The sequence below is a fragment of the Homo sapiens genome, chromosome 14 (assembly GCF_000001405.40).
Source record: "Homo sapiens chromosome 14, GRCh38.p14 Primary Assembly".
Lineage (NCBI taxonomy): Eukaryota > Metazoa > Chordata > Mammalia > Primates > Hominidae > Homo > Homo sapiens.
This window is the reverse complement of record NC_000014.9, coordinates 91,523,628-91,547,129: the sequence shown is the minus strand read 5'-3', so window position 1 is coordinate 91,547,129 and position 23,502 is coordinate 91,523,628. Positions and strand designations below refer to the sequence as shown.

Genomic DNA, 23,502 nt, shown 5'->3' with positions numbered 1-23,502 from the left:
GCTCACGCCATCCTCCCACCTCAGCCCCCCAAGTAACTAGGACTACAGGCATGCCACCAGTATATTTTGTGGAGATGGGGTTTTGCCATGTTGCCCAGGCTGGTCTTGAACTCCTAGGCTCAAGCAATCTGCCCGCCTCGCCCTCCCAAAGTGCTGGGATTATAGGTGTGAGCCACCAAGCCGGGCTCCTTTTTATAATTTTATTATTTCAAGAACGTTTTATATAGCATCACAAAATATGCAACCTTTTGGGATTGGCTTTTTCTCACTCAGCATAAATTTCTGGATATCCATCCAGGTTGCTGTATTCATCAGCAGTTTATTCCTTTTGATTGTTAAATACTGTCTCCATCCATTCCTGCTGCTATAACAAAATACCTTAGCCTAGGTAATTTATAAATAATAGAAATGTATTGCTCACAGTTCTCGAGACTGGGAAGTCCAAAATTAAGGCACTAGCAGATTTGGGTCTGGTAAGGGCTTCTCTCTGCTTCCAACATGGCTCCTTCTCACTGCTGTATTTTCACATGGCAGAAGGGTTGAATGCTTGGGTCCTCACATGACAGAAGGGCAAAAGCCGAAAAGGATCAGACTCCCTCAATCCCTTTTATAAAGGCACTAATCCTATTCATGAGGGCAAAGCCCTCTTGACTAATCACCTCCTAAAGGCTTCACCTCTTAAAGCGATTGCATTGGGGATTAAGCTTCAACATGAATTTTGGAGAGGCACAAACATTTAAGCCATAGCAGATCGTATTCCATGGTGTGGACATACATTGTTTAACCATTCATCCATAACAATACATCAGGGTTGTTTGCAGGTTTTGGCTATTACTAAGAAACTGTTATAAACATTTATGTACAGGTTTTTTTGTGAATGTAACTTTTTATTTATCTGGGATAAATGCCCAGGAGTAAAATTGCTGGGTCATATCCAGATTCAGTTTTTTTAAGAAACTGACAAGCTGTTTTCTCCCAGTGATATATGAGTAAACCTGTTTCTCTGCATCCTCCACAGTATGTGGTGTTGTCAAGGTTTTTTATTTTAGTCATTGTTAAGTGCGTAGTGATATGTCATTGTGAACTGAATTTGCATTTCCTTAATGGCTAATGATGCTGAATATCTTTTCATGTGTGCATTTGCCATCTGTATATCCTCTTTGGTGAAATGTCTGTTCATGTCTTTGGCCATTTTCTAATTGGATTGTGTGTGGGTTTCTTACTATAGATTTTTGAGCCTGCTTCATATATTTAAGAAAAAAATCCGGGGCTGGGAGCAGTGGCTCATGCCTCTAATTCCAGCACTTTGGGGAACCAAGGTGTGAGGATCACTTGAGCCCAAGAGTTAGAGACCAGCCTGGGCAACATAGGGAGACCCTGTTGCTACCCAAAAAAAAGAAAAAAAAAATTTTTAATTAGCTGGGTGTGGTGATGCTTGCCTGTAGTCCTAGCTACCTCAGAAGCTGAGGTGGGAGAATCACCTGAGCCCAGGAGGTCAAGGCTGCAGTGAGCTGTGATGGCACCACTGCACTCCAGCCTGGGTAACAGAGTAAAACTCTGTTGAAAGAAAGAAAGAGAGAGGAGGAAAGGAAGGAAGGAAGGAAGGAAGGAATAGAGGAAAGAAAGGAAGAAAGAAAGAAAGAGGGAAGGAAGGAAGGAAGGAAAGAGAGAAAGAAAAGGAAAGGAGAAAAGAAAAAAGAAAAGAAAAATGAGAGTGAGGGATGGAAAAGAAAAAGAAAGAAGGGAGGGAAGAAGGGAGGGAGGGAGGAAGGAAGGAATAGAGGAAAGAAAGAAAGAAAAGAAAGAAAAAAGAGAAAAGAAAGGAGAGAGCAAGGGATGGAAAAGAGAGAGAAAGAAGGGAGGGAAGGAGGAAGGGAGGGAGAAAGGAAGGAAGGAAGCAAGAAAAAGGCAAGGAATGGAAAAGAAATACTGGCCAGGTACAGTGGCTTATACCTGTAATCCCAGCACTTTGGGAGGCCAAGGGAGGTGGATTGCTTGAGGCCAGGAGTTCGAGACCAGCCTGGCCAACACAGTGAACCCCGTCTCTACTAAAACTACAAAAATTAGATGGGTGTGGTGGTGTGTGCCGGTAATCCCAGCTACTTGGGAGGCGGAGGCTGGAGAATTGCTTGAACCCAGGAGGCAGAGGGTGCAGGGAGCCTGGATGGTGCCACCGCACTCCAACCTGGGCAACAGAGCGAGACTCTGCATCAAAAGAAAGAAAGAAAGAAATTCTTTATCAGGTATATGGTTTGCAAATATATTCACCTGGTATGTAGCTCATCTTTTCATCCTATTAACAGCATCTATCACAGAGGAAGTTTTTAATTTTGATAAAGTCCAATTTGCCAGGTTTTCCTTTTATGAATTGTGCATTTAATGTCAAGTCCAATGATTCTTTTCCTACTCCTAGGTCCCGAAGAATGAATTTCTGCTAGAATTCTTGCTAAAATTTTATAGTTTTACGTGTTACATTTACATCCATTATCCATTTGGATTAATCTTTATTTTTTCTTTCTTTTTTTTCCCTTCCTTCCCCTCCTTCCTTCCTTCTTTCTTTTTTTTTCTTTCTTTCTTTCTTTTTTTTTGAGATGGAGTTTCACTCTTGTTGCCCAGGCTGGAGAGCAATGGTGCGATCTTGGCACACTGCAACCTCCACCTCCCGGGTTCAAGTGATTCTCCTGTCTCAGCCTCCCGAGTAGCTGGGATTACAGGCACATGCCACCACGCCTGGCTAATGTTTGTATTTTTAGTAGAGACGGAGTTACATCATATTGGTCAGGCTGGTCTTGAACTCCTGACCTCAAGTGATCCACCCGCCTCGGCCTCCCAAAGTGTTGGGATTACAGGCGTGAGCCACTGCACCAGGCCGGGTTAATTCTTTATAAGGTGTGAGATTTAGGTCCAAGTTCATTATTGTTAGTGTTTGTGCCTATGGGTGTCCAAATATTCCAGGACCATTTGTTCAAAAGGCTAGCTTTCCTTCATTGAATTGTTTTTGCACTTTTGTAAAATATATGTTGGGGATATTTGTGTGGCTCTATTTTTGGGTTCTCAGCAAGACGCGGTGGCTCACACTTGTAATCCTAGCACTTTGGCAGGCTGAGACGAGAAGATACCTTGAGCCCATGAGTTCATGACCAGTCTGGGCAACATAGTGAGACCTTGTCTCTATAAAAAATGTACATATATGTAAATGAAGTTAAAAAAATATTTCTGGGTTCTCGGCTGGGCATGAAATATTATATTATATTATATTATATTATTACAATACCATTTTATAATATAATGCAATATAATATAATAATACAATATTGTATTGTAAAACTATATATAGTACAATATCACAGTCAGGATATTGATACTGTGGCTCATGCCTATAGTCCCAGCACTATGGGATGCTAAGGTGAGTAGATCACTTGAGCCCTGGAGTTTGAGACCAGCCTGGGTAACATGACAAAACCCCATTTCTACAAAAAATTCAAAATTTAGCTGAGCATGGTGGTGTCAGTGGAGGCCTAGTGGGTTGCTGGAACTCTCACCCCCACACAGTAGAGATACAGAGCACCCTACCTTGGTGTCAGAGGAGGCTCACCTTTACCCCATCTGTTAGTCACAAGGCAGTGCCCCCTTCTACTGCTGGGGTAGTGTCACACACACACACATACACACACAAAGCAGCCAAAAAGAAGGTTTAAAAATGGAGAACAGATTAGTGGTTACCACAGGTTAAGGAGGTGGGAGGTGTGCAGCTGGAGGGAAATGGGTGTGGCCATAAAGGAGCAAGAGGAGGGATCCTTGTGGTAATACCTTATAGTTTACCTTGTGGTAAACTATATCAGTTATTTGGGAGGCTAAGATAGGAAAATCGCTTGAGTCTGGGAGGTGGAGGTTGCAGTGAGCCAAGATCGCACCACTGCACTCCAGCCTGGGCAACAGAATGAGACCTTGTCTCAAAAAAAAACTATTTTAGAAACATAAAATATTTAATCTATAATATATTATAAAATATATAGTCTATAGTTAAATTATAAATATTGAATTATAAATATTTAATCTATAGTATATTATAAAATATTTAGTCTATAATTAAATTATAAATATTGAATTATAAATATTTAATCTATAGTATATTATATAAATATACTTTATATAATTATAAATTATATTTATATAATTTTACATTTTACAGAAATATAAAATATAACATATTTTATTATTTAAATAATGTGTTATAATTTAGATATATAATAAATGATTTCTAATATAACATATTTTATTGTATAATTTTATAAAATATGAATTTATATATAGAATATAGTTATATATAATATGAAATTATATGTGTATACACAAACACACATATATACAAAATTTTATCATAGTTACAAGTGTCATTTTACCAGTTCAAGTATAGAAGCTTTACCTTTCTTTACCTCCCTTTATCCTCCCAGATTTATTTATGTTAACTACTTTCTCCTTATACATTTAGAACAATACCAGACAGTGTTATAATTTTTGCTTCAACTACTAAATATAATCTAGAAAACTCAGTAGGAGTTTTGGAAGGTGTTCTGTATTCACCTGTATTTTGACTTCCATGTTTTCCTTTTCTGGTATTCCAAGATTCCTTCTTTTATTGTTTCCTTTCTGCTTAGAGGACTTCACTTAGTCATTCTCTTAGGGTGGTCTGCCAACAGATTCTCATAGTTTTCTTCATCTGAGAATGCTGTGGCTTCTTTATTCATGAAGGATATATTCTCTGGGTATAAAATTCTGGGTTGATAGTCTTCTAGCACATGAAAACTGTTTTGCCATTTCCTTCTGGCCTTTGTGGTTTCTGAGGAGAAATTAACTGACATTTATACTTTTTTCCCTTATACTTAAGGTGTTGTTTCTCTTGCTCTGCTTTTAATATTTTTTCTTTGTCTTTTGTTTTCAGAAGATTGACTATGTTAATGTTGTAGATTTCTCTGGGTTTATCCTGTTTGGAATATACTCAGCATCTTAAATCTGTAGGTTTATGTATTTTACCATATTTGGGAATTTTTCTGGTATTATTATTTGAGTACTTTTACAAGGAAGTCCCTTCTTTCTCTTTTTCTTTGGATCTTCAATTACATGAATGTTAGACCTTTCATTATAGACCCACAGGTCCCTGAAGCTCTGTTCATTCCTTTTAAGTCTATTTTTCTCTATTGCTCAATTTCTATTGTTCTATCTTCAAATTATCTGATTCATTCCTCTGTCACCTCAGCAAATTAAGCTCATCTGCTGGATATTTTATTTTACTTATTGTATTTTTAATTTCTAAAAATTTCTATTTCATTCTTCTATTTCTTTGCTGAGACTTTCAATTTTTTCACTTACTTCAAGCATGTTCATAATTTTTCACTGAAGCATTTTTATCTTTTTCAAATAGTTCTAACATCTCTGTCATCTTGGTATTTGCATCTGTTGATTGTATTTTTTTTTCATTCAGTTTGAGATTTACTAGCTCTTGACATGGCACTCATTTTCAATGGAATCTGAGATATTTGCGTATTGTGTTATGAGACTCTATATCTTAACCTTCTTTTTGGCTGGTTTTCTTATGTGTGTGTGATACTACTCCAGCAGGAGAAGGGAGCACTGCTGCCTTGTTACTGCCAAATGTGGATAAAGGTCCAGATACCCACTCAGCCTCCTTTGACACCAAGCTGGGGTGCTCCATGTCTCTACTGTGTTGGGGTGAGAGTTCCTGCACCTCATTAGGCCTCCACTGATACCTTTCAGTATGAGAAGGGCAGTGGTGCTTGAAATCCATTCCTTTCTCTCTGTATACACTGGAATTGATTTAACTCAATATTTGTCATTTCATGCCTGGTCTGGGACAGTTAATTTGTAAATGGACTCCCCAACTTTGACATTTTCTTCCTCCCATCCTTCCTCCACAATGCTTGCAGAGTGATCTTTACAAAACATAAACCCAGTCATCACATCCCCTTACTTAAAACCCTTTCATGAATCCCTACACTCTCCAGAATAAAATCCAAAACAAAGAGAGTCCTTCAGGACTTGGTCCCTGCCAACTTTTCCAGCAACATCTCACTCCACTAATGATATGGTTTGGATCTGCGTCCCCACCCAAATCTCATGTTCAGTTGTAATCCCCATTGCTGGAGGTGGGGCCTGGTGGGAGGTGATTGGATCATGGAGGTGGGTTACTCCTGATGGCTTAGCGCCATCCATTTGGTGCTATTCTCATGATACTGAGTGAATCTCCTGAGAGCTGGCTGTTTGAAAACGTGTGGCACCTCCTCACTTCTTCTCTCTTCTGCTCTTCCATGTAAGACATTCCTGCTCCCTCTTCACCTTCTGCCATGATTGTAAGTTTCCTGAGGCATCCCCAGAAGCCAAGCAGATGCCAGTGTCATGCTTCTTGTACAGCCTGTAGAATCATGAGCCAATTAAACCTCTTTTCTTTATAAATTACCCAGCCTGAGGTATTTCTTTTTTTTTTTTTTTTTTTTGGAGACAAGAGTCTCATTCTGTCACCCAGACTGGAGTGCAGTGGTGCAATGTTGCTCACTGCAACCTCCGCCTCCTGGGTTCAGTGACTCTTGTGCCTCAGCCTCCTGAGTAGCTTGAATTACAGATGCATTTACCCACACCCAGCTAATTTTTATTTTTGTATTTTTAGTAGAGACAGGTCTTCACCATGTTGGCCAAGCTGATCTCAAATTCCTGACCTCAAATGATCTGCCCGCCTCAGCCTCCCAAAGTGCTGGGATTACAGGCATGAACCACAGTGCCCTGCCTGAGGTATTTATTTATGGCAATGTGAGAACAGCCTAATACAGAAAATTGGTACTGGGAGTGGGGCATTGCTATACTGATACCTAAAAATGTGAAAGTGACTGGGGAACTGGGTAATGGGCAGAGACTGGAATAGTTTGGAGGGCTCAGAAGAAGATAGGAAGATGAGAGAAAGTGTGGAACTTCCTACAGACTGGTTAAATGGTTGTGACCAAAATACTGATAGTGATATGGACAGTGAAGTCCAGGCTGAGGAGATCTCAGATGGAAATGAGGAACTTATTGGGAATTGGAGCAAAGATCACTTTTGCTATGCCTTAGCAAAGAACTTGGCTGCCTTGTGCTCCTGCCCTAGGGATCTGTGGAACTTTGAACATGAGAGTGATGATTTAGGGTATCTGGCAGAAGAAATTTCTAAGCAGCAAAATGTTCAAGATGTGGCCTGGCTGCTTCTAACAACCTATCACATATACATGAACAAAGAAATGGCCTATAGTTGGAACTTGTATTTAAAAGGGAAGCAAAGCGTAAATGTTTGGAACCATTTGCAGCCTGCTCATGTGGTAGAAAAGAAGGCCCATTTTTCCAGGGAAAAATTCAAGCAGGCTGAAGAAGTGTGCATAAGTAAAAAGGAGCCAAGTGCTAATAGACAAGACAATGGGGAGAAGCCCTTGAAGGCATTTCAGAGACCTTCACAGCAGCCCCTCCTATTATAGGCCCAGAGTCCTAGAAGGGAAGAATGGTTTTGTGGGACAGGCCCAGGGCTCCACTGCCCTGCACAGCCTCTGAACACTGCTCCCTGCATCCTGGCCACTCCAGCTCCAGCCATGGCTCAAAGGGGCCCAGAACTCAGGCCTCTGCTTCAGATGGTGCAAGCCATAAGCCTTGGTGGCTTCCACATGGTGTTAGGCCTGCAGGTGCACAGAGTGAAAGAGTTGAGGCTTGGGAGTCTCTGCCTAGATTTCAGAGGATGTATGGAAAAGCCAAGATGTCCAGGCAGAAGCCTGCTTCAGGGACAGAGCCCTCACGGGGAGCCTCTACTAGGGCAGTGTAGAGGTGAAATGTGGGGTTGGAGCTCCCACACAGAGTCCTCACTGGGGCACTGCCTAGTGGAGCTGTGAGAAGTGGGCCACCCTCCTCCAGACCCCAGAATAGTAGATCCACCAACAGTTCGCACCGTGTGCCTGGAAAAGCTGCAGACATTCAACACCAGTCTGTGAGAGCAGTCACTGGGGGCTGAACACTGCAAAGTCACACAGGCAGAAAGGCATCAGTGTGGCCTGGATGTGGGACATGGAGTCAAAGGAGATTATTTGGGAGCTTTAAGATGTAATGACTGCCCTTCTGGGTTTCAAACTTGTGTGGGGTCTGTAGCCTCTTTCTTTTGGCTAATTTCTTCCTTTTGGAATGGGAGTATTTACCCAATGCCAATACCCCCATTGTATCTTAAGAGTAACTAACTTGTTTTTTTATTTTACAGGCTCATAAGTGGGACTAGCCTTGTCTCAGATGAGACTTTGGACTTTGGACTTTTGAGCTAATGCTGAAATGAGTTAAGACTGGGGGACTGTTGAGAAGGGATGATTGTATTTTGCAATGTGAGAAGGACATGAGATTTGGGAAGGGCTGAGGGCAGAATGGTATGGTTTAGATCTGTGTCCCCACCCAAATCCCATGTCCAGTTGTAATCCCCAATGTTGGAAGTGGGGCCTGGTAGGAGGCAATTTGATCATGGGAGCTGGTTCTTCATGATGGTTTAGCGCCATCCTCTTGGTGCTGTTCTCTCAATAGTGAGTTCTCCCAAGATCTGGTTTTATGGCACCTCCTCTCTCGCTCTGTCTTGCTACTGCTCTGCCAGGTAAGATGTGCCTGCTCCTCCTTTACTTCTGCCATGATTGTAAATTTCTCAAGGCCTGCCCAGAAGCCAAGCAGATGCCAGCATCATGCTTCCTGTATAGCCTGTGGAACTCTGAGCCAATTAAACCTCTTTTCTTTATAAATTACCCAGTCCCAGGTATTCTTTTATAGCAATGTGAGAACAGATAAATACAACTAGGGAACCCTGTAGATCAGCTGTATCAAAGCACTTGTCCTGGAAGACAGTCCCTGACAGCACTGAGGCCTGGAAGCAAAGAGAGACAAAAAATACAGTCAACCCTCCATATTTATGGGGTATGCATCCATGGATTCAACTAACCACAGATTGAAGATATTTTTTAAAAGATGAAGAAAAAAATGGATGGCTGCATCTTTACTAAACATGTAGACTTTTTTTCCTGTCATTATTCCCTAAACAATACAGTATAACTATTTACATAGCAGTTATGTAGTATTAGGAATTACAAGTAATTTAGAGATGACTTAAAGTATATGGGCAGATATGTGTAGGTAATATGCAAATACTAATGATTTTATACAGCAGATCCTTGAAGAACATCATTTCATTCGACATCATTTTGTTATAATATTGATGAGAAAAAATCGATTCCTGGCCAGAGCTGCAGTCTGTGTGGTGTCAGCACATTCTCCCTACATCTGCGTGGGTTTTCTCAGGGACTCCAGTTTTCTCCCACATTCCAAAGCTGTGCACATTAGGGGAATTGGTGTGTCCAAATTGTCCCAGTGTTGCCAGGTGCAGTGGCTCACACTTGTAATCCCAGCACTTTGGGAGGTCCAGGCAGGAGGATCACTTGAGTCCAGGGGTTCAAGACCAGTCTGGGCAACAAAGTGAGACCCCATCTCTACAAAAAAATTAAAAATGAACAGGGCATGATGGCACACACCTGTAGTCCCAGCTACTCAGGAGACTGAGGTAGGAGGATTGCTTGAACCCAGGAGTTTGAGGATTCGGTGAGCCATGATTGCACCACTGAACTCCAGCCTGAGCAACAGAGCAAGACCCTATCTCTACAACAAATAAATACATTGTCCTAGTGTAAGTGAGTGTGTGTGTGTGTGTGTGTGTGTGTGTGAGAGAGAGAGAGAGAGAGAGACAGACAGAGAGAGCCCTGCAATGGAACTCTGTCCTGCCTAGGGTTAGTTCCCACCTGTGCCCTGAGCTGCCAGGATAGGCTCTGGCCACCTGCAACCCTGAAATGGAATCATTGGGTAAATAATTATCTTGCTTGATTTTATTAATCTTTCTTAAATGTATGTATCACTCACATTTATTTCAATATTTTATTTATTGAATATTTGGTAGAGACAAGGTCTCACTGTGTTGACCAGGCTGGTCTCGAACTCCTGGCCTCAAGTAATCCTCCAACCTCGGCCTCCCAAAGTGCTGGGATTACAGGCATGAGCCACTATGCCCGGTCTATTTCAGTGTTTAATATTAGAAAGGTTTTGGGTCTTTATTTAGAAGTTTGGTGATATTTTTATAAGCAGAAATATGCCATAGGAACTTAGCTCTTGTTTCTATCAATTAGCCTATGGTTAATGAGTTCCTTTATTCATCTTTTCACTTAAAGTCACAGTTTCCACGAACCTATTGATGATGCTAGGGGAGGACTTAACTGTATAAGGGACTTGAGCATCCATGGTTGGGGGGTGCTGGAACCAATCCCCCACAGATACCAAGAACAACTGTACTGCAACTACTTTCTCTGCCCATATTCCCCTCCCATCTTGTGCCATTCCTCCTACTGGCTGAGCTCAACCAGAAGTGAGAAGCCAGAGAGCAAGAGAGCCTGGATGAAACACTCCATGGGGATCAGACTTCAGGTCACAGAGTAGGGCAGAGAAGAGCAAAGAATGGATGTTGCAGGGGAAATGGGGACAGTCAAATGGAGAGTAACCGGCACTCTGAACCTCAAGCCAGCCTAGGTCCTAGAGCAGTTAGGAACCAAAGTCTCATCTTGCCAAATGCCATTCTTTTTTTTTGACAGAGTTTCGCTCTTGTTGCCCAGGCTGGAGGGTAATGGCGCAGTCTCAGCTCACTGCAACCTCTGACTCCTGGGTTCAAGTGATTCTCCTGTCTCAGCCTCCTGAGTAGCTGGGATTACAGGCACGCGCCACTACGCCCAGCTAATTTTTGGTATTTTTAGTAGAGACGGGGTTTCACCATGTTGGTCAGGCTGGTCTCAAACTCCTGACCTCAGGTGATCCGCCTGCCTCAGCCTCCCAAAGTGCTGGGATTACAGGCGTGAGCCACCGCGCCCGGCCCCAAATGCCATTCTTATCCTCCAAGATTATTACATGTTCTGACAGAGTTCATCAAACATCCCAGGTCTCAGCTCAAATAATATTAAATGCGTTACATAAAATCCCATTTTCATTTCATGGATAGAACCACTACGTTGCTCTCTATGTTTCAAAAGTCTTCCTAGCTCAAAAAGGAATTAGATAATTATACCCATAATCAAAATATGGTTGGTATGATACAGATGGTTAAATATATGCTCCACTATTCTCACTGATTAAAACATCTTTTTATCCCATTTATCGTAGCCATTTTTTTAGGATAGTGAATTCTTTTATAATTTTCAGGAGAAAAGTTTATCTTTAGCAGAGTAGTTTAAATCTACCCAGTGGTTTTTATTGGTGGTGGGGTAGGGGGTTGTTTGTTTGTTTGTTTGTTTTATTAAGACAGAGCCTTGGCCGGGCACAGTGGCTCACGCCTGTAATCCCAACACTTTGGGAGGCTGAGGGAGGAAGATCACAAGGTCAGGAGTTTGAGACCAGCCTGGCCAACATAGTGAAACCCCATCTCTACTAAAAATACAAAAATTCGCTGGGCATGGTGGCACGTGCCTGTAGTCCAAGCTACTCAGGAGGCTGAGGCAGGAGGATTGCTTTAACCCGGGAGGCAGAGGTTGCAGTGAGCTGAGACCATGCCATTGCACTCCAGCCTGGATAACAGAGTGAGCCTCCGTCTCAAAAAACTAAAACAAAAACAAACAAAAGACAGAACCTTGCTCTGTCACCCAGGCTGGAGTGCAGTGGCGCGATCTTGGCTCAATGCAGCCTCAACCTTCCGGGCTCAAGTGATCCTCCCACCTTGGCTTCCCGAGTAGCTGGGACTACAGGTGAATGCCACTATGCCCAGCTAATTTTTGTACTTACCCAACGGGTTTTTAAACAAATAGATATCATTGCCATTGATGTAGTTATATGTTGCACAATAGCTGCTGGAATCCATAAGTTGAGCAACTTGCACCATATGCTTTGAATACTGTTAAGTAAATATTAAAAAGTGAAGATTGAGTACTTACTTATGCTGTCAATAAACTTGAAAGCAAGATTTCTTACACTAATGCCCATTGAATAACCAAGCAACCAAATAAACATTTAGTAAATAACTTTATGGGTAATTCCAGATGTCTATAAGCTTTTAAAAATCATTCATCAACCTGAACTAGTCCTAGCTTTCTGTTTTTAAGTTTCTCATTTTGCTATCGTTTTCATTAAATGTATCCCTGCACATACTTCAGAAAGTCAAATAATCCTAAATTATTATAAAATCTAACAGTTCCCTGTACATATCCCTCTTCCATTTCCCTTTCTTCAGAGGCAACCACATAAAATTGTTTTAACTGTTTATTTGGACATTTGCCTCGGAATCTCTAAATAACCTGCTTACACTGCTATTTTTTTTTTTTTTTTTTTTTTTTTTTGAGACAGGGTCTCACTCTCTTGCCCAGGCTGGAGTGAAGTGGTGCGATCTTGGCTCACTGCAGCCTCAATCTCCTGGGCTTCCCAAGTAGCTAGGACTACAGGCACATGCCACCATGCCTGGCTAATTTTTTTTTTTTTTTTTTTTTTTTAGAGCCGGGTCTTGCCACATTACCTAGGCTGGTCTCAAACTCCTGGGCTCAATTGATCTACCCACCGCAGCTTCACAAAGTGCTGGGATTACAGGCATGAGCCATGGTGCCTGGACTTATACTGCCATTTTTTTTTAAGTTATAAGTAAATTGTTCTATCATAAAGACACAGGTATGTGTATGTTCATTGCAGCACTATTCACAATAGCAAAGACATGGAATCGACCTAAATATCCATCAATGGTACACTGGATAAAGAAAATGTGGTACATATACACTATGGAATACTATGCAGCCATAAAAATGAATGAGATCATGTCTTTTGCAGCGACATGGATGGAGCTGGAGGCCATTATCCTTAGCAAACTAAAGCAGGAACAGAAAACCAAATACCTCATGATCTCACTTATAAGTGGGAGCCAAAGGATGAGAACACGTGAACGCCTAGAGGGGAAAAACGGCCTGTCAGAGGATGGAGGATGGGAAGAGGGAGGGGATCAGGAAAGATAACTAATGGGTGCCAGGCTTAATACCTGGGTGATGAAACAATCTGTACAATAAACCCCCAGCTTTACCTGTGTAACAAATCTGCACATGTCCCCTGAACTTAAAGTTTAAAAAAAAAAAGTATAATCTATTAACATTCCACTATGAAAGACGAGGATTTAGGTCTTTTCTAAGCCCTACTATCACCGCCATACATAAACACTCACTCTTCTCATCCTCCCACATGAAAGTTTTATGAAGAGTTTAGTCAGTGGGAGGCTTGAGGTGGGAGGATCTCATGCAATAGTTTGAGCCAAGAGTTCAAGACTATAGTGAGCTATGATCATGCCACTGTACTCCAGCCTGGGTGACAGAGCAAGACTTGGTCTCTAAAAATTAAAATAAAGTAAAATAAAATAGCTTAAGCCAGGCGTGGTGGCTTATCCCTGTAATCCCAGCACTTTGGGAGGCTGAGGCGGGCAGATCACTTGAGCCCAGGAGTTCGAGATCAGCCTGGGCAACATAGTGAAACCCTGTCTCTACTAAAAACGCAAAAACAATTAGCCGGGCGTGGTGGCACTTGCCTGTAATACCAGCTACTCAGGAGACTGAGGCAAGAGAATTGTTTGAACCCGGGAGGTGGAGGTTGCAGTGAGTCGAGATCACGCCACTGCACTCCAGCCTGGGTGACAGAGTGAGATTCCATCTCAAAAAATAGAATAGTTGAGTCAGATTCACTGTTGGTGTTATTATGGAAATGTTAGCCAAATTCACGGTACAGCCACATTTCTTTTTCTTCCCTGATAACATTTTCTTGTTCTTGGTGTTAATACATGTCCTTGTTTTCACTTAGTTCTCTATGCACTGTTCACTATTTTGTCTCCCTCTAATGGATCTTCTGTTTCCCGGCTCTCATATATTCTACTTTATTAATATAATACCTTATTTTAGTGGAACACGTCCTCCAGTAACTTTCAAAGAAAAAATAGATGGGTGGCCGGTGTTTTGAGATTGTTCGTGTATGCAAATGTCTTTATTTACTTACCACTGGATTCATAGTTTGGCTGCGTATATAATTCTCTACTTGAAACCACTTCTCCTCAAAATTTCAAAAGCATTGCTCCTTTGTCCCTTAGCTTGCAGTATTACCATTGAGAAGCCCAGTGCCATTATTTTGTCTGATTCTTCTGTAAGGAAAGATTTAAATATCTTTCCATTGTCCCTAGTGTTATGACATTTCATACTGGTGGGCTTCGTGTTTTGTTTCATTGTTTGTTTTTTTTTTTTGGAGATGGAGTCTCACTCCAGTCAGTCATGCAGGCTGGAGTGCAGTGGCGCGATCTTGGCTCAGTGCAACCTCTGCCTCCTGAGTTCAAGTGATTCTCCTGCCTCAGCCTCCAGAGGAGCTGGGACTACAGGCATATGCCACTGTGCCCGCTAATTTTTTTCTGTTTTTGGTAGAGACGAGGTTTCACCATGTTGGCCAGGCTGGTCTCAAACTCCTGACCTCAAGTGATCCACCCGCCTCGGCCTCCCAAAGTGCTGGGATTACAAGCATGAGCCACCACATCTGGCCTGGTGGGCTTTGTTTTTGTTCTATATCCATGTCATGGGCTCTGGACACTGTGGTGGACCTTTCTGTGTACAAGTTCACATCCCTCAATTCTGAGAAATCTTTTTGAATCATGTGATTAATAATTGTCTTCCTTCCATTGTCTCTGTTCTCCCTGTAACTCCTAATATTCTGGCTTTGTTCTACCTGTAAGCTTCTCTGATTTTCTTATCACTTTCCTCCTATATACATCCTCTTGCTCTACTTTCAGGAGCTATCCTCAGCTTCTGTTTCGTACCATCTGTTGAATTTTTCATTTTTGTTACTATACTTCTAATTTCCAAGACCTCTCTTTTGTTCTCTGAATGTTCCTTTCTTTATAAAACCCTCCATTTGGTTTCATGGGTGCCACATCTTCTGTCTCAGAGAACATTGATAGGTTTGTAGCAGTTTTCTTTTCTAAGGATAGTCTCCATTTCCTCTAGGTTGCCGTTTCCTGCTTATGTGGTGTTTCCCATCTGTTTCCATGCCGTGGACTCTTCTCAAATGTCTGATGATCCTTAGCTGTCTACTCATGTTTAGGAATGGGGCACTGAAAAGCTATTTGGAAACTGTGTGAATATTGATTTGCCTTGACCATTTTGCTAAGAAACTCAATGATTTAGTGTCTTTAAATCTTTTTTTCCTTTGTGATCAGATTCTGCAGAGGGTCGGGTGCCATGGCTCACACCTGTAATCCCAGCAATTTGGGAGGCCGAGGCAGGTGGATCACCTGAGGTCAGGAGTTCAAGACTAGCCTGGCCAACATGGCGAACCCCTAGCTCTACTAAAAATACCAAAAAAAAAAAAAAAAAAAAAATAGCCAGTTGTGATGGTGAGCACCTGGAGTTTCAGCTACTCAGGAGGCTGAGACGTGAGAATTGCTTGAATCCGGGAGGTGGAGGTTGCAGTGAGCCAAGATCCCACCACTGCACTCCAGCCTAGGCCACAGAGTGAGGCTCTTTCTCAAAAAAAAAAAAAAAAAAAAAAAAAGTTCTGCAGAGAAGGTTCCGACAGCTGCCTGCTTAGGTAGGGGAAGTCTCCTCAGGGGCCCCAAGATTCAATGTGAAAAGGATGGGAAGAGAAGGATGGATTGGGCACTGGCATTATCCACAGGGAATTGCAGCATACACATGCCTTTTCGATCTTCTACATTTCCCTCAGGGCTGAGTGCTTGCAACTGGACACCCCCTTCCTGCTTCCTGCTTCCTATTTCTTGGTGTCTGAAAAACTGTAGTGCTGCATACTACTCCAGTGATGGCAAACGTGGTGGCCATGAGAACATGCCTCATAGACTTCTTTTTTGGAACATAATTGACCAAAGGCCCCAGCTGCTGTGCTCTGAAATTCATCAGTATGCTTGGGCATGGTGCTTCTGCTCATAGGCTGCTCCCGCTAGGGACTGGATGCAGCAGGACACCAAGGCAGACACACTCCCGGGAGGCATGGCCTCCTTTGCAGGCTGACTTTGGCTCAGGGACTCCCTTATCAACTTTGCCGAGGCCGAGCTCAGTGGCTCACACCTGTAATCCCAGCACTTGGGAGGCCGAGGTGGGCACATCACTTGAGGCCAGGAGTTCAAGACTAGCCTGGGCAACATGGCTAAACCCCGTCTCTACTAAAAATACAAAAATTAGCCAGGCATGATGTCTTGCGCCTGTAATCCCAGCTACCTGAGAGGCTGAGGCAGGAGAATTGCTTGAACCCAGAAGGCGGAGGTTGCAGTGAGCCAAGATCATGCCTGATAGGTGACAGAGCGAGACTCCATCTCAAAAAAAAAAAAAAAACTTTGCCAAATCTTCCTTGCAATGCTCTCTAGGATGACTGTGCTCAGCCTTCTCTCTCTCTTTCCTTCACTCAGGCTCACACTTGCATCACCAAGTGATGCCTCTCCCAGCCATCCTGGCTCTCTCCCTATTTCCTTTCACACAAGCATTTCCCTTAATAAAATCCTTGCATGTTTAATTCCATCTTGATGTCTGCATTTTGGAGGGCCCAGTCCAACCCAACAAGACAGTGCTAAATTCAGCTCTTAGACACAGTAAGTCTTTTAAATATAAAATATATAAGTATTGATTTAGTTCATAAGAAATTAACCATAAGTAAGAGAAAACTGAAATTCATTTACAGCTATGCTGAGGGACTGCCAAATTAGACACTGAGAGTTGACATTTATGTTCTCGGTGTCTTTAAAAAAAATTTTTTTTTGTACAGATGATTTCTACGTTACCTAGTCTGGTCTCAAACTCCTGGGCTCAAGTGATCGTCCCACCTTGGCCTCCCAAAGTGTTGGGATTATAGGCATGAGCCACCACATCCAGCCCCTCAGTGTCTTTTGATTTGGATGTTTGCTGAAACTCTTCTATAAAATGAGAAAAATAACATTTCTAACATAGCTTTGACTTTGTTCTTTCTTAGATTTTTTCTTAAGAATTCTGAGTTGTGTCTAATATCAAAATTTGCAATACAAATAGAGATTTCTCTTTTAAAATAAAGGCCAGGCGTGATGGCTCACACCTGTAATCCCAGCACTTTGGGAAGCCGAGGCAGGCGGATTCCCTGAGGTCAGGAGTTCGAGACCAGACTGCCTGGCCAACATGGTGAAACCCTGTCTCTACTAAAAATACAAAAATTAGCCAGGTGTGATTACGTGCACCTGTAATCCCAGCTACTTGGGAGGCTGAGGCAGAAGAATCGCTTGAACCCGAGAGGCAGAGGTTGCAGTGAGCCGAGAGCACACCACTGCACTCCAGCCTGGGCAACAGAGTGAGACTCTGTCTCAAAAAATAATAATAAAATAAAATTCATATCTGCCTAAGTTTTGAGAAGGCTGTCAGGAGTAAAAGCTCGTGTGCATCTTCCCTGCTCTCATCTGAGTAGAACAGATCCCTTTTAGGTCATGTTAAATCTGCATTTTCTTTTATGTGTGCACCCTACAGACCCCCCAGTCCTGAAATGTACCCAGATTAATATCTTTGATGTCCAGATCACAAAGGGCTTCTTATTTTCAGGGTGTTCTTTGTGATAGATCATCTTTTCAGACTATCTATCTTTTGGCAAAAAGGAAATAACTTATAAGTATTTTCTGAATGTACAAACACATTCATGCATTCATTACTCTCAATTTCTTTTTCCACCTTTTGAAAACCAATACAGGTAGAATAGGAAGCCAAGGATGATGGTGTTAATATGTAAATATTAAAAATTTTTATTTAGCTATTTTAAAATCAAATCAAATGGTCCAGGTGCGGTGGCTCATGCCTGTAATCCCAGCACTTTGGGAGGCCGAGGTGGGCGGATCGCAAGGTCAGGAGATTGAGACCATCCTGGCTAACATGGTGAAATGCCGTCTCTACTAAAAAATACAAAAAATTATCCCGGTGTGGTGGCGGGCACCTCTAGTCCCAGCTACTCAGGAGGCTGAGGCAGGAGAATGGTGTGAACCCGGGAGGCGGAGCTTGCAGTGAGCCGAGATCGCACCACTGCACTCCAGCCTGGGTGACAGAGCGAGCGAGACTCCACTCCGTCTCAAAAAAAAAAAAAAAAAATCAAATCAAATGTATGATTGTGACTTAATTTTTGTCATTTCAAATAATCTTTCTAACTCTGTGTTTGAGAAGAATATGCTTATCCTTAAATGATGCAAACATTCTATACCTTACCCCCAGCCACAGTGGTTAGGGTAATACTTAGAGAAAAGCCAGGCCACTCAAATACACTGCCTGGATTTTTCAGATTGTCACGGGGTGAGAAATGCTTTTAACTCCTGAACATCAAATTTAGAAGGATGAGGTATAGGGCTGCATATAACCATGACCCCCGACTGCCACTCACAATGTGGGCAAATATGTCTGCATCAGAGAGAAGAAAGCAGAACATTGTGTGGGGATCCCAGTTATCCTCCAAACCAGACGAGTGTCTTTCTGGGGTCTGTTAGGAAGTGAGATAAGGGGCTGCGCATGGTGGCTCACACCTGTAATCCCAACACTTTGGGAGGCTGAGGTGGGAGGATTGCTTGAATCCAGGAGTTCAAGACCAGCCTGGCCAACAGGGTGAAACCCTGTCTCTACACACACACACACACACACACACACACACACACACACACACAAATTAGCCGGGTGTAGTGGTGCATGCCTGTGGTACCCGTTGCTCAGAAGGCTGAGCTGAGAGGCTGAGGCAAGAGGGTCACTTTAGCCCAGGAGTTCAAGACTCCTGAGCTATGATCATGCCACTGCACTCCAGCCTGGGCAACAGAGCAAGACCACGTGTCTACATTTAAAAAAAAATTAATAAGGAATTGAGATGAACTGATTCTTTTAATCTACACCCTACCTCAACCTCTCTGAAATTTATTTTGTATTATTGGCTGTAAATGCAATCTCTTTCCTTATAACTCTATGGGTTAACATCATCTAAGGTGATTTTTAAACTTGTTATCAAGTTCTTTCACATTTGTCCCATCAGAAGTGAAGTCTCTATTCCCTCCTGTTAAATCTGGGCTGGCTTTGGTGACTTGTTTGTACCCAATAAAATAAAGCATAAATGATGCTGTGTGACATTGGAGGCTAGGTCAGAAAAGACCATGCAACTTCTGCCTGGTTCTCTTGGAATGCTTTCTGTAGGGAAAGCAGCCACCATGTAGAAGTCTAACTCCCCTCTCAAAAAGGCCATGCATACCTGTTCTGGCAGACAGGCCTGGCTGAGCTCCCAGCCAACAGCCAGTATTCCCTGCAAGCCATGTCAGTGTTTCATCGTAGACATTCACAGCCCAGTTGAGCGTTCGGATGACAGCAGCACAGCTGACATCTGACTGCAACTACATGAGAGGCCTCAAATGAGAACTGCCCAGCAAAACCCTTCCCCAATACCTGACTCACAAAATTGGGAGCAAAATAAAATGCCTACTTTAAACCACGAAGTTTAGAGAGACTTTGTTACAGAGTAATAGTAACTAGAATGTATCTTTGCTTGGGCAATTGATTCCAATCTCAAAGTAATGGCAGTAGTGGTACATTTTCCATGGATGGAATGGATGAGATCTAAATGCTATGTGTTTTCTTAAAAACTTCTGCTGATATGCTCCTTACGTATTATAAAACTCTTTTCTTAACAGCTACAATGACTATATGAAATGTATTTATTTTTTATTTTTTGAGACATGGTCTTTGTCTGTCACCCAGGCCAGAGTGCAGTGACATGATCATAGCTCACTGCAGCCTCAAATTCCTGGGCTCAAGCAATCCACCTGACTTAGTCTCCTGAGTAGCTGGGACTACAGGCTTGTGCTATTATGCTCAACTAATTTTTTTATTTTTATTTTTATTTTTTGTAGAGATGGGGTCTCCTTCTGTTGTCCAGGCTCACCTCAAACTCGAGACCTCAAGTGATTCTCCCACCTCACCCTCACAAAGTGCTGGGATTACAGGCATGAGCCACCACACCTGGTCTGAAATGGATTTTTGAGCACAGTCTAGATCTTAAATGTCTGACTCTGGTTCCAAGATTTGATTTGTCAAGTATAGATCGGATCTTACCACACAGTCTTACAGGGACTGCACATGTATTTTGTTGTACGAAAAATCAGTGGTATCATTTTTTTTTCCTAACATGGGTGGCCTTGAAATTTTTGTTTAGTTTAGTTTAACTTGGGCTTATAATATTATTTCTTTTTCTTTTCCAATCAACTTTCTCAGGTTGAAAATTTCTATTTGAAGTTGGATCAAAGAAAAATATGAAGGGAGAGATGATGATAAAGAATGAAAACAGGACCCTCCTTCAACCACTGAAATGGGAACACTGTGCTTTCTCTGAGCAGCAGTTAAAGGTCAGCATTATTTTCCCAGGCCCTATGCTAGGCCTGACCGATTAAAGCTGAGAGCAGAGGCTTACACGGTTAGCATGGGAAAGGAGAGAATTCATGGTCCAAGAGGCAGATTCTCAGCCAAGACTGATCTTGGGAGGCCATGAAGAAACACCAGAGCTGAGCAAGAGAGTGCAAAAAGTCATAGTCAAGAGAAGAAGCCGAGGAGATGAGGCCCAGGGAAAGAGCCCAGGCAACCCAGAGAAAGGAAAACTAAACAGGCTTTCAGCCTGATCATTTCTCACCTAGAGCCCACTGCAACATATTAAGTGTTCCAGCTCTTACCCCAACATGTCTTAAAGAAGGTAGCCCTTTAGGTTGGTGTAGTGTGGGAAGTTAAAAAATCATGATGAGAGCTAATCATCTAATCATGATGAGATGATCCCAGGTGTGTTACAGGATCCCAGATCCATGCTGTGAAACCTCTTGTTCCCAATCTGTCAGTTTTATAGTCTCTCCTGGTATTGATGGGAATTTGGTACAGACCAAATGGCATTTAGTTTTCCCAGCTATTAGTACACATAGGACAACATGGCTAAAAAAGAAAAAAGTATAGGCTTCTTTTTGGCCCCCAGAAATCCAAGCAGACATGGGGGAGCTATGCGATATAGTTTGGATGCTCCATCCAAATCTCTTGTTGAAATATAATCCCCAGTGTTAGAGATGGGGTCTCGTGGGAGGTGTTTGGATCATGGGGATGAATCCCTCATGAATGGCTCAGCACCATTCCCTTGGTGATGACTGAGTGCTCACTCAGTTCACATGAGATCTGATTGTTTAAAACTGTGTGGCAGCCAAGCGTGATGGCTCACACCTGTAATCCCAGCACTTTGGGAGGCCAAGGCAGGCAGATCGCTTTGAGCTCAGGAGTTTGAGACCAACCTGGGCAACATGGTGAAACCCCATCTCTACAAAAAATACAAAAATTAGCTGGGCATGGTACTGCGCACCTATAATCCCAGCTACTCAGGAGGCTGAGGCTGGAGGATCGCTTGAACCCAGGAGGTGGAGGTTGCAGTGAGCTGAGATTTCACCACTGCACTCCAGCCTGGAAGACAGAGTGAGAACCTGCCTGGAAAAAAAAAAAAAAGTGTGTGGCACCTCCCCAACCCTCTCTCTTGCTCTGGCTCTTGCCATGTGATGTGTCTTTTCCCACTTCATCTTTTGCCACGAGTAAAATCTACCATGAGTAAAAGCTTCCTGAGGCCTCCCCAGAAGTCAAGCAGAAATGCCAGCGCCATGCTTGTACAGCCTGCAGAGCTGTGAGCCAATTAAACCTCTTTTCTTTATAAATTACCCAGTCTCAGGTATTCCTTTACAGCAATGCAAGAACGGCCTAACACAGTAGCCCTTTTTGATCTACCATGAGGAAAATAATGGCACAAGTAGAGTATTGACCTGGGCAGAAATATTCAGACTCTCAAGATAAACTAGGGGAGGAACAATGACTAATGCGTTTGGTCATTATTAGCATTTGGTCATTTCTAGCATTTTCCCTAGCAAATGGATTCACTCATTCATTCAGCTGATATCTGAATGAATCAGGAGGCATTACGCATCCAACAGTGAACAAGAGACAGTCCGTGTCTTCCAGAACCTCTATTGAGCATTAAGATTTGAGTGAGGTTCTGGCAGACAGGCCTGTTCCTAGTGTAAGGCTCAGCCTCAGATGTGATCCTGAAGGCCTGTTTCACCTGGATGCAGTCCATTTGGATGAGTTTGCTTGAGAAGCACACACATGGAAGCCATAGGCTGGAGGACATCAAGTATGGCTGACGTTAGGGTGTCTTACCTGAGGGATCCCAGAAAGCAGAGGCTGAGACAAAGTCTTGAGAATGAGTTTTCTGTTGGGGAGTGTGATCCTATGGAGAAAAGCAAGGAAGAGCTGGGTGTGGTGGCTCACGCCTGTAATCCCAACACTTTGGGAGGCTGAGATGGGTGGATCACCTGAGGTCAGAAGTTCGAGATTAGCCTGGCCAACATGGTGAAACCCCATCTCCACTAAAAATACAAAAATTAGCCGGGTGTGGTGGTGCAGGCCTGTAATCCCAGCTACTCGGGAGGCTGAGACATGAGAATTGCTTGAACCCGGGAGATGGAGGTTGCAGTCAACTAAGATCACACCATTGCACTCCAACCCTGGGTGACAGAGTGAGGCTCCATCTCAAAAAAAAAAAAAAAAAAAGACGAATACAATGCAGACCAGGAGGAGGAGCCAGTTGAGGGAGGTGTTAGCAAAGACAGTCACTGCCATGGGTAGATGATTGCTTGAGCCCTCGGAAGCATTGGTCTGGTGGAGAGAAAGGGATAGCATCTGTCCATTAGTTCAAATGTTCCTAAATCCAAAGTTGACCTGATGGAGTGTTAATTCTCCTGCACTTATGGGTTATGCTTTCATGGACAAAGAGCAGGTTCTCACAGCATCGCCCCCTACAGCATTAGAGGAGCCCTGGGGAGGGAGGTGAGAAGCATGTGACACAGGACTGTGGTGAGGCTGTCAAGGTGCGTCTGTGTGAATCTGATGAGTGCCCATACAGCACTGGTCACTGCAGTGGTGCCTAGAATAAGAGTAAGGTGAGCCTGAGAGTATGAAGAAGGACCAATTTTTTAAAAGGTAATTAAGTGAAAGTTTTCCCATTAAATCTTGGGGCTGATGAGAAGCCTTTTGCCCCTCCTATGCAGGCAGTTGGCATACTCTTCTCTGCAGAATTTGATCATAGAGGAAAATGTTTTAAAGATGTTAAATCATTGGGTTTCCCAGGAAAATGGTCCAGCCAGATCAATGCATCCACAGTTGATAAATCTAACTTATTCACATAGCTTCCAAATGGCTTCTAAGTGCCCTGTTCTTAAACATGAGTAGGCAGCCAAGGATCATCAGATATTTGAGAAAAGTCCATAACATGAAAGACAGATGCCAAACAACAAACAAGTAGAAAAGTAACTTGGAGGAAACAGAGACTATTCTTAGGAAAAACTTCTGGCTGAGTGTAGTGGCT

General features: G+C 42.7%; 1 long non-coding RNA gene across 2 annotated transcripts in view; it reads left to right on the top strand.

Annotated features, from left to right (window-relative positions):
- Positions 1–23,502, top strand: part of LOC101928957 (uncharacterized) — a 57,307-nt gene that overhangs the window by 30,693 nt on the left and 3,112 nt on the right. For both annotated transcript variants that reach the window (XR_007064306.1, XR_944152.4), the window contains one exon: positions 20,337–20,467. This is a non-coding gene — a long non-coding RNA (uncharacterized LOC101928957). The remainder of the gene's footprint in view (positions 1–20,336; positions 20,468–23,502) is intronic.